The sequence below is a fragment of the Homo sapiens genome, chromosome 12 (genome assembly GCF_000001405.40).
Source record: "Homo sapiens chromosome 12, GRCh38.p14 Primary Assembly".
NCBI classification, from domain to species: domain Eukaryota; kingdom Metazoa; phylum Chordata; class Mammalia; order Primates; family Hominidae; genus Homo; species Homo sapiens.
Window position 1 is genome coordinate 83,572,923 of NC_000012.12, and position 12,666 is coordinate 83,585,588.

General features: G+C 36.2%; 1 annotated feature.

The window, feature by feature from the left end:
- Positions 11,273–11,773: an enhancer, noted in NCBI's record as "H3K4me1 hESC enhancer chr12:83977974-83978474 (GRCh37/hg19 assembly coordinates)". NCBI's record gives its function as "activates a minimal SCP1, AML or CMV promoter by ChIP-STARR-seq in naive H9 embryonic stem cells {active_cell/tissue: H9 hESC(naive)}" and the evidence as "EXISTENCE:reporter gene assay evidence [ECO:0000049][PMID:30033119]".

Sequence of the window (12,666 nt, forward strand, 5' to 3'; positions counted from 1 at the left end):
AAAAATGGCTGAAATGTCACATTCCCTCAATCATGTTTCATGTCAGCTCTTATCTTTTGACTGTAGACACAATTATGTGTCGATAGCATATTTAGAGTGTTATATTAAAATTTTATCTGTGCTTGAGTAAAGTTCAAAATATTGTAAGATAGTATAGCTTATTATTGGGAGAAAAATACAAAGATATAAGTGAGTAGTTAATGTTTTTATTACTAGTAAAATAATTTTAGAGATTGATCTTTTGAAAACTAAAGCCAGGATAGATTTTATTATACTATACTTATTATTTTTGATAAGAGAAACATAATTTTATATTAAGGATAATTGTTTATATATTTTTGATATTCATGCTTTAATTTTGAACAGCTTCTGTTTGGTAAAGAACTCTTATTTTTATATAAAGAAAATTCCTAAATGGCTTATGTGATTATCTGTTTCTATGCAGAAATATTAAACATTTGGTTGTAATTATGCAAAATAACCTGAAAGTATTCAGAAAGGCTAAGTCTAGCTTGCTCTGTGCATCACAGAAGAAATATTGATTGAATGTTCTTTTTAGTACATAATCCTTCAGTCTTAATATTTCCTTTGTTGTAGTTCTGCCTTTAATGAATAAATATATAGAATATTCTTTTCACATTTATATAGTCTTAGAGCCTATCTATTAAGACAGTTCTCAAATTTTCAAACTGCTGCAAGGTTATTTTTTATAACTTACATTTTGCTACTTATGGTAAATATTAAAATCTGACATTGCCTTTCAGTATAATGCTTAAGTTAGTATGTTCTAAACTGGGAGAAAAATAATTCAGTGGACATATTATATTTCTAGAAATTGGGCAAGCTCAAAACTCTCTATTCCCTGACTTAAAAACATTGTCCAATCTTGATTCGTAGGGCTGGAGTTCTTCCATGACTCATTGCAGGGTGTGTCGCCACAGCACGTGTGGTTCAAGGGAGCAGAATGAGTCAGATGTGGGAAAACAAGATCAGTACAAGGGAGTAATGTCTAACACCAGTTGCAAAAGGTGAGTATAAGGCTATCAACAGTCCATTAAGTATGTGAGAAGGAATCAAGTTGATCATATTAGAGAGTATAAAAGAGTAAGGAAACACAAAGTCTTGGCCATGAACGTGGTAAGGAGGTCAAGATTATTTTCAATGGGTTCTAATTTTGAGGTCCATGTCGGTAAGATCATAGGCAGGTTTGGGATAGAGATCTTCAAAACGCTACATAAAGCCTTAAATTGTATATTGATAAGTGACTATTCTTTTAAAATGTTTATTTTGCTATTTTCACTTTGTGTATCATGCTAGTACATATTTTCACTAATTACTTAAGTTGTGGAATTGCATTTTTTTCCTTTGCAAAAAATCTCTGAATGACAGGAGTAGTATATACACCAGGAACTGAGATTAGCTACTATGCGTCACAGAGGTAAGCTACTGTCAGTGAGTCTTGTTACTTTGTGCCCAACTATTTGAAGCTATCTGAGTTAGAAAATTGGCTCATGGTCACTAATCAGTTTATTTTGTTTGCTAAGAAAACTTAAAATCTTCCAAGATCAACACAATGTAAATTATCTTGGTCATTTGTAAAGTGAATAAATCTGAGATTACCAAGAACTGACTCTAATGTGTGAAATGACAGGTTACTGGAGAAGTTGATTCAGTGGCAATTAGAGAGTATTCCTGAACTGCTGAGCCCAATTCAGATTATGTAAAATAAATAATCAAACCAAACTAATGTAGTTTTGACTCCATTTATTCTTTATTCAGTAAGCATGCTGCTATTTTTCATGACTGTGGTGTACATAGTATTTTGGGTTATTCATAGCATGCTTAATACCTGAATATTTCATGGGAACACAGCTAGAAAGTTTAATAGAAACTTAAGCTAGATTTTTTAATTGAAAATATATCTCCAATTTGTATGAGTAATGAATGCTTTAAAAATGATGTAGTACCCTCTTAATTTTTCAATTATTATATATTCAAATTCCCATAAGATATAATTTATGGTTCTTCATGGACTGTTCATTATTGAACTTGTAAATACAATTCATTTCTTCAGCTAATAGCAAACAATGGGATATAAATAATGGCACACAGCAATCCCTGAAAGATACTATTTCTTAACTTATTAATATATAGTGAGATTTTTCCCAGTATTCAAGCTACTACTTGTTTCATGTTGGTACTTTCAGAACTCAGATGCAATGTGGTGAAATTTATTCTTTAGTTCATCCATTTATTTCATTATGCAATATATAATGAGCAGTAATAGGCATTGGAGCAATTGTTAGATATAAGAACTGTAAAACAAATAGAAAGTTCCAAAGGGTATATAGCACAGTGAAGTATATAGCACAGTGAAGTGAGTTATCACTGTGTTACAAGCTAATAGGTATCACACTATATTAACAGCTAACATTTATTGAGCATTAAGCAGTTACGTGTATTAACTCATTTATTCCTTGTAACAACCCAAAAAGGTGGACCTTTTTATTATGATCCTTAGCATACAAATATCTGAGTCATAGAGACAACAATGAGCTTAAAGCCACACAACTAATAAATACCAGAGCCAGTATGTGAGCCCAGGAAGTCTAGCTCCAATGTCGGTGCTTTAATCCAATACATAAGGAATAAAATGCACAGGATGCAGTTAGAGCACAGAGAAAATCCATGTCAGATGGCTGTTTTGGTGAAGAGATAAGAAGAAAAACTCTGGGGCTGATGGAAACCGCCTGCATAATAGCATGAGGAATACAGTCTGTGTGTTTGAGGACAGTAAGAAGTTCTATGGGGTTGATTAGAAGTGTTCATGTGGGAAATAGAGCTGGGATTTTAGGGCAAGCATCAGAGCATGATGGACTTTAGGTGTTAATCTAAGAAATTTGAACTTTATTCTGGAAGCTGTGGGGAACTATTGGAACATTTTAAGGGCTTTAAGAAAGGCAGCAATATGATCATACTTGCCTTTTGGAAAAGTCATCCTGGCAGATGTATTGAAGTGCTGGTTAGGAGGCAATTGATGGAAACCAGGCAAGAGTTGATGAGAATGCAAACAAAAATACTGATATGGTAGAGAAAAGGAGACAAAGGCATAGGTTGAGTACTTTTCATATCTAAAATGGCTATCAGTTAATATGCACTTTCTATGTGCATTTTACTTGGCACGGTATATACGTACTCAGTTAATCCCAAGTACTTCTATGAGAGTTATTTCATTATTGATGTCTTGTAATGAGGTAAATAAAGGCTTAGAGTAGTTAAGTAGCCCACCGAAGGTTATAAGCTAGTCAGTGATGGATTCAGGAGTTCAGATCTACAAATTGCACCCTTTCTAGTCTGTGTGATGTTTCTAGCCATGAGATTCTTTAAGGACACCTGGTAGAAAAATGCTAAACTAGAAATATGAATCAGATTAGCATTGTTTCTCTTATCCATGTGAATTATGATGTCATTCACCAAAATATGGAAAAGCTAAATTCTTTATTTCTTGAAAAAATAAACGGGATATTCATGCAGAACATGCAGGCTTGTTACATGGGTATACCTGTGCCATGGTGATTTGCTGCCCCTATTGACCCATCCTCTAAGTTCCCTCCCCTCACCCCCAGTCAGGCCCTGGTGTGTGTTGTTCCCCTGTGTCCATGTGTTCTCATTGTTCAACTTCCACTTATGAGTGAAAACACGTAGTGTTTGGTTTTCTGTTCCTGTGTTAGTTTGCTGAGAATCATGGCTTCCAGCTTCATCCATGTCCTTGCACAGGACATGATCTCATTCCTTTTTATGGTTGCATAGTATTTCATGGGGTATATGTACCATATTTTCTTTGCCCAGTCTGTCATTGATGGGCATTTGGGTTGGTTCCATGTCTTTGCTATTGTAAATAGTGATGCAATAAACATGTGTGTGCATGTGTCTTTACAGTAGAATGATTTTATATTCCTTTGGGTATATACCCAGTAATGGGGTTGCTGGGTCAAATGGTATTTCTGGTTCTAGATCCGTGAAGAGTCACCACACTGTCTTCCACAATAGTTGAAATAATTTACATTCCCACCCACAGTGTAAAAGCGTTCCTATTTCTCCACAGCCTCGCCAGCATCTATTGTATTGTTTCCTGACTTTATAGTAATCGCCATTCTGACTGGCATGAGATGGTATCTCATTGTGGTTTTGATTTGCATTTCTCTAATGATCACTGATGTTCACCTTCTTTTTATATGTTTGTTAGCTGTGTAAATATCTTCTTTTGAGAAGTGTCTGTTCATATCCTTCACCCACTTTTTGATGGGGTTGTTTTTCTCTTGTAAATCTGTTTATTTTGTAGGTTGTCTGTTCACTCTGATGATAGTTTCTTTTGCTGTGCAGAAGCTCTTTAGTTAGTTTAATTAGATCCCATTTGTCAATTTTGGCTTTTGGTGTTTTTGTCATGAAGTTCTTGTCCATGCCTGTGTCCTGAATGGTATTGCCTGGGTTTTCTTATAGGGTTTTTAAGGTAAATTCTAATGAAATTTTCTCAAAAGAGATATTTCTAACTGCTGTATTCATTTATTATACCTCATTTTTCAAACTCTGATCTGGCATTGGGTTCCTCAACTCCATCATAAAAACTCTTCATGGGATCAGCAATTACCTTCTGTCTCTAAATTCAAAGAATACTTTTAATACTTTTCTTAGTCTGCTCCTCAGTAACACTGAGCACTATTTTCTACTTTCTTGCTTTAAAACGTTCTTATATTTGAATTTTTTGCAACAATACTATTTGATCTTCTCCCAACCTCTTTGTATCTTGTTCAGGTCTATCAGTCTGAAGCACTAAATAGTGAAGTTACTTAAACTTAGTTATAGAACCTCTCCTCTCCTAATCTGGTATTTTCTTTCACCTTCATGACTTCAATTATTACCTGTAGAGAGGTAACAGACACAATTAACCAGGCCTCTTCTGTGATATTTATTCTTGGCAACTCAATGGCATTCCAAATACAGGAGATCCAAAAAAAATAAACTTATGACATTCTCCCTCACTTCTAGTCCTTTTTCACTCTCTGTGAATGGCACTGCATTCTATTTATTTCTATAAGCAAGGAACTTAGCAGTCATCATGGATACAGTATTCTTCCCTACCTACTGAATCTAAACCACTACCAATTCTTGTCAATTGTATTTGCTAAGTATTTCTCAAGTCAGATTGTTTAAAGTCCATGGCCAACACAACATTCCCTGCTGTATTCATTGCTAGCATGGGATTCTCCATAGTCTATAAACAAGTTTTCCCAGTCTTCCCTAAACTTTCCTTTAACTCATTATCTATACTGTATTGGAGAGTGATTTGTCAAAAGTACATTTTGAATCATATTCTTCTACTTAATGCAAATTGCCGATAGGTTCCAGAATTCTTATCAGAGCCTTCAGCGGCCTGCATCATATAACCTCTACCTTCTGCTTGTACCATTCTTCTACTCTCTTATATAGTCCCAATGCCTTTCTTCCTATCTTTTGTACTCACTATTTATTTGTATATATTGCTCCTTTTTCTTGGAAGACTTTTCCCTTTATTAGATATTTTCTACTCATTGTACGGTTTGCAGTTTCCATATCACTTCCTCTAGTGATGTTTCTCTGACCTCCTTATACCAGATCACTCTATTCAAGATCCTTATAACACTTTCTCCATTAGCTTTCTACTTTTGTAATTTTATATTTTTGCAACCATCAATTGACCAATACCTGTACCTTTTCTTATGTGTCTCCCCATTCTTACCTATGATGGAAACTGGATCCTGGTCTGGTCACCATTGTTTCTTGAGAATCTTGTATTGCTTGGCACTTGGTAAATATTCAATTAACTTAATCTTTATGATAATCTGATATAATCCTTGTAAAAAGTGTTCATTGTACAAATGAAGACAATGTTGCTCTAGCACGTAAGTCATAACCTCTCTAAACTTCTCCTTCTATGAATACTCAATTTTAGTTTTACAGTGAAGCAAGTCCCTTTATGTTCAAACTCCCCAGTAATTTGCAGAAATTTCAATGACTAAGAGCTGGGCTGTTCAATATAGAAGTCTCTAATAACATGTGAGTGTTAAATATAAAATAATTAAAATAAGAATAAAAATGCAGGTCCTCAGTTGCACTAGCTACATTGTATGGGCTCAAAAGCTATATATGGCTAGTGGCTACCATATCAAACAGCATAGATATAGAATGTTATCCTCATAGGAAGCTGCATTGGATAGCACTGCTTTAAGGAAAGATCATTCTTTGTTGAAATTTTAGTTCTGTAATTGACATATCAACATAAAGTGTGAGTAGATTAGATTTGCAGATAAAAACTGGATTTACAGATTCAATTTTCTCGAATATTTTAAACCTAAAAAAATGCTTTTATACAAGGCCTGTTCTCTCTTTTTGAATAAAATTCTATACCAAATTTCACAACACAAAGATTTGTGTGAATATTTGGGAGAGGGACTTTGTCTGCATGTACAATTGTGTGTACATATTAATGCTTAAAGGTAACGTATTCAGATTTTTAAATATCATTTTACAGGTCAAGTCAGAAGTAGTAGTTATAAGAGGGAAGATATTTTGGGAAGGATATATTAATGTACAAAGGACTTGGAAAAGGCCAAGGATGGCAACTGGAAAGGAGAAAAAAAGGACAATAACTCCAACTCCAGCCAATCTGAAAAAAAATTAAGCACATTGGACTACATATATGAATTCTTCCAAACATATTTAGGTCTGATCTGGGGAAGGGAGGCCTTCCTAGACAATGGTTCTTTGATGCCCTTGACTTTGAATTGCCTAGCTAGCTTCAAAGAAATGGCCTAAAATTGTTCTCATTCTCTCTCTATTAATTTAAAGTTTCCCCTGTGGTTTTTATAATGAACAATGCTTTTCTTTGTCTTGCCAAAATCCTTAGAAACAATAAACACAACTAGACATCTCTCTCAAACTCGGACAGAAACAAAATAAACTCTTTTTAGCTGAATATTTATTTATTTTTTCCCATCCTGGATGAGGTTTTTTTTTATTTTTTAATGAGGCGTAAAAGGAGATACTTCTAGTCCCACACACAGTGAGACCAAAATCATAGATAAATTGTTTCATTCAAACTTCAATTCAGCTTTTAAAATATGTTATCTAAATGGCATGGATAATTTTCAGATTATTTATTTGATATCCTCTCTAATCAAATAATATAATTTGTAGTGTGATGACAACAGTTGACTTACAGTTCCTAACACCTTGAACTTCGCAAGTCATTCTGACCACTCCCCAATATGGAAAATTTATTTATTGATTAAGAGGAAGTATGCAGGGCACAAGATGCCAAAAGTGTCATACAACTTGCTGGAGTTATGTTTTATTATTAAGAATGAAATTCTATAGTTACAGAAATATTTTTAATAGACATACATTAATATTTTCATTAAAATATAAAGTATAAACATGGCTGTAGTAGTTCACAAACACTATTGACAAATCCTTCCTAAGTTAACCCAGCAGGATATCATGTCTTCCTCTGGAAAATGCACAGAATCACATTCTGAGTAAAGAGGGATGTAACACAGTGAAAGAATATGTGTTGAAGTCAGATAGGTCTAGGTTCAAATCTTCATACCATTATTTAACAGCTTGGATAGTTACTCAACTTCTAGTCCTATTTCTTTGTCCATAAATGGAGAGAGAAATACTATATTTCACGTTGTTGTGAGAACAGGGACACAGTGTACATTGTAAAGCCAGTGTTACATACAAGTTGGCCATCTTTATAATGTTATCATCATGATCATCATAAATATAGCCCCTCCCTTTTCCCCATGTAGGTAAGAATTCTATTGGTAATTGTTGACTTTGCCTTATTCATCTTGTTATTCTTAAAACATAGAATGATTTATATATTCTGTTCAACAGTCTTTGGGTTTAATTGTCACTGTTAAAAGCCATTTGTTTTATTCGTCTTTCCTCAGAGATTCTTCGTATAATTTGTTGATTAAAAAATCTCTGATGTAAGGATGAAAATATATTTAGAATATATATCCTCAACTTGATAGGCTCTTCATGAGAAGAGTGGTGCCTTAATTGTGTGCTTGTGCTTACCATAGTGTTCTGTACATCCTACTACTTCACGCATACTTGTTAAATTGCTTTCTTTAAACAGCTCCATCACTAACCTTCCTAGTTCAGTTAATAATTTGTCACAATCCACTCATGGCCATCCTTTTTCTCACTCTTGCTCTTACCCAAAATCTAATCAGAATTTAAGCTGCATCTATTTTCTTCTGACAAATGTTCTGTTTCCACTATTCTCTACTTTGTCTAACTGCCTAGTGCTTGAGAGTAAGGATTTGGTAATGTTTTAAAATCCATTTTACTTCTTCACTTCTTCCTTTACACTGTTTTGCATTCCACTCACGTGTCTGGATCAAGACTCACTCTTGCTTCTCTTTTATTATTTTACAAGTCACTACATTGGAGACTTTTTTGCTGGCTCTTCATTTCCTTAACCTCTGCATATAGTGGTGGCCCAAGACTCAATCTCCAGTCCTTTATTACTGTTTACTCTTTAGGTGACCTCAATTGATTTTGGGGGTTTAAATACCATCTATGTCCTGGTGACACTCACATATAGATCTCTGATCAAGATCTCACCCTGAACTCCAGGTTTGTTTATCCAACTGCCTAGGCAACTTTTATACTTAGATATCGAACAGGCATCTCAATACATTGCACTGACATCCGAAGTACTTTTCACTGACAATCTAGATATACAGTACGACTACATTTTATTTGCTTATTCTCTGTATTTTACTACTAAAATATAAGCATTGTGAGGTAGAGATGCTGTCTCTTTCATTTTCTTATTGCAGAAGAACAGTGCCTAGAAGATGGCAGTACTTCACACATATAACATATTGAATGAAGAAATGAATCAGTCAATACTATATACTCTTTATTTTAATTTTCAGTGTTCTTTCGGTATATATTCTTAAAATTGATTAAATGTCCACTTTTCAGATTGAGTTCCCAGGAAGCACAGTCTGAGCTAAAGATTAGTTGTAAAAAAATCTTATTGGGGCATACTCTGAGGACAAACTCCTGGGAGTTGAGTGAAAAAAGCAGAATTAGATGAAAAGACAAGTTAGTCTATGATCCCAAGAACATACGGCACTGTAGAATTGTCCAGAAATGGGGCCAGGATAAGGGGAATATTTATAACCTGCATCAAGAAGACATTCAACGCAAGTTGTTTTGGAGGAGGCAATGTTGGAATAAAGGTGATCTCTTCCTGGGTGTCAGCTATGTGCTATTAGCCTCCTACTTGCACAGTATCTGAAGGAACAAGTGTTTTAGTACCAAGAGGCTCCACAGTATCCAGTATTATTATTTTCAAGGTTAGATGATTCAAAGAAATGAACAGTTTCCAAACTGTATGAAGAGATTATAGTGACCCACATGATGAATAAAAATGCATCGTATTCACTGAGACATTAGAGAAGATCATCGAAGAAGGTAGAAAAGCAAGTAGAGCAGAACCTGAAAGAACATAGGATTTTTAAACAGCAGGTCTTCAAGTAGAGACAAGTTCATGTACAAATGAAATAGAGCAATTAGGAAGACAGCCATCTATTTTCAGGGCTTTTTCAATGTAAGTTTTGCTCACTTCTCTATGTGAATGTCGTGTATGTTTGCTGCTTCTGCTTACTTCCTAGTTGTTTGAAGTACATGACACTGTTCTCTTCAAATATCTATAGTCTCTTGGGTTGCTCCTTATCAAGATCCTTCAGAAGACCTGCTTCTTCTGATAACTTATGGAGCAAACTTCTAACATTTTTGGGGAGAGATTCTGTTAATTACTTACCATTAGCACTTTCAACACTTTTTCTTACTAACAGAAATAGGCTTGCTTGAGATTGCAATGAGCTGAAATAATACTTGCGTTACTCTTTCGGATAGTTATAGTCACATGACAATTTTTTGCCAATGAGAGATAATCAAGGGGAAAAAAGTTTTGGTTTTCTCATATTGAAATTGCTGCTTTCTACTTAGCTGTTTTCCTGTCTAGACTGTGGATATGAGGTAGAGATGCAGCATCTTCTTATTATCATGAAGTGGTAAATGTGAACATGAAAGCCAACACACCAGTAGATTCAGAGTGGAAATACAAAAATAACCTAGGACCCTGAAGCCAGTGTAAACAGTTGCAAAGCCCTGGAGTGATCCCCTCTGGATTTCTAGTTATGTGAGAAAACTGAGTCTTTTAAAAAAAATTACTACTAATTGGGTATTCTGGTACTTGTTGCTAACCACATTTTTAAATGTTAACCTTTTCTTGGTTCACTTCTCATTCTGTATTTTTCTCCAAATTAGCTATACATAAACCCCATGTACTGATAACTCATAAATCTATATTTCTATCATAAACCTATATTTCCATCTGGATCCCATTTCCTGAGATCCAAAATGATACTCAGACATACACTGACTGTCTCTCTTTTTGGTATTTATTAAGCATTCAAAATCAGTAACTTTATTCACAAACTCTTTGTTATGTTCCCCATATTTGGCCACTTCTCTTTATACTGTTGGGGTAGTAATGCCTATAAATTACTAAATAATGAAATCTAGAAGTTAGCGAAGACTTCTTCCTCTTACTTACCTCATTCAAATGATCATCAAATCTTCTGTCACCTCCCCAATTTAACTCCTTATTAACAGGCCCATTGACTTGGTGTAGTCTCTGATCATCTCTCATTTGAACAGTGGTAAGGTGGTTCTTTCATAATATGCCTTCGATGCCTCAAACCTTCCCTTGTTCATAATGGAACCAAATGACCTTTCTAATATTTATATATGATTTACTAAGTTAGCTTAAAAGCATCAGTTTTTTCCTGTAGACTTTGGAAAAATGCTCAGATTCTGTGTCTGTCAGTCATGTAAGATCTTAAATGTTCTGATCTCTTCCTGCATTAATGCATTCCTGCTAAATACTCCTTCTAACTCTGCATTTAATTCACGGTCATGCCATATTACTTACAGTACCCCACATGCATGTAACATGTCATTTTATGCTTATATATTTGCACATGTCAACTTCTCATGGAGGGCTCTTTGTACTCTTGGTCCATCTGATGCACTTATGGTTACCTTAAGATTTGAAAGCATGCATTTTTACAACCTCCTCTGACATGTTTTGTTTCAAGAAAAATTGATCATCTGCAACTTTGTCTTACAAATTTTCTATAAGTATTGTTTTTAACAGGTTTTAAGGCAGAAAGGCTTATCTGTTGATGTCATGCAAAGAACTTCAAATCAGTGGGAGGGAGGAGCCAAGATGGCCGAATAAGAACAGCTCTGGTCTACAGCTCCCAGCGTGAGCAACGCAGAAGATGGGTGATTTCTGCATTTCCATCTGAGGTACCAGGTTCATCTCACTAGGGAGTGCCAGACAGTGGGTGCAGGTCAGTGGGTGCATGCACCGTGCACGAGCCAAAGCAGGGCAAGGCATTGCCTCACTTGGGAAGCGCAAGGGGTCAGGGAGTTCCCTTTCTGAGTCAAAGAAAGGGGTGACAGATGGCACCTGGAAAATCGGGTCACTCCCACCCGAATACTGCACTTTTCCGACAGGCTTAAAAAACGGTGCACCATGAGATTATATCCTGCACCTGGCTCGGAGGGTCCTACGCCCACGGAGTCTCGCTGATTGCTAGCACAGCAGTCTGAGATCAAACTGCAAGGCGGAAGCCAGGCTGGGGGAGGGGCGCCCGCCATTGCCCAGGTTTGATTAGGTAAACAAAGCAGCCGGGAAGCTCGAACTGGGTGGAGCCCTCCACAGCTCAAGGAGGCCTGCCTGCCTCTGTAGGCTCCACCTCTGGGGGCAGGGCACAGACAAACAAAAAGACAGCAGTAACCTCTGCAGACTTAAATGTCCCTGTCTGACAGCTTTGAAGAGAGCAGTGGTTCTCCCAGCATGCAGCTGGAGATCTCAGAATGGGCAGACTGCCTTCTCAAGTGGGTCCCTGACCCCTGACCCCCGACAGCCTAACAGGGAGGCACCCCCCAGCAGAGGCACACTGACACCTCACACAGCAGGGTACTCCAACAGACCTGCAGCTGAGAACCCATCTGTACATCACCATCATCAAAGACCAAAACTAGATAAAACCACAAAGATGGGGATAAAACAGAACAGAAAAACTGGAAACTCTAAAAAGCAGAGCACCTCTCCTCCTCCAAAGGAACGCAGTTCCTCACCAGCAACAGAACAAAGCTGAATGGAGAATGACTTTGACGAGCTAAGAGAAGAAGGCTTCAGATGATCAAATTACTCTGAGCTATGGGAGGACATTCAAACCAAAGGCAAAGAAGTTGAAAACTTTGAAAAAAATTTAGACGAATGTATAACTAGAATAACCAATACAGAGAAGTGCTTAAAGGAACTGATGGAGCTGAAAACCAAGGCTCAAGAACTGCATGAAGAATGCAGAAGCCTCAGGAGCTGTTGCGATCAACTGGAAGAAAGGGTATCAGCAATGGAAGATGAAATGAATGAAATGAAGCGAGAAGGGAAGTCTAGAGAAAAAAGAATAAAAAGAAATGAGCAAAGCCTCCAAGAAATATGGGACTATGTGAAAAGACCAA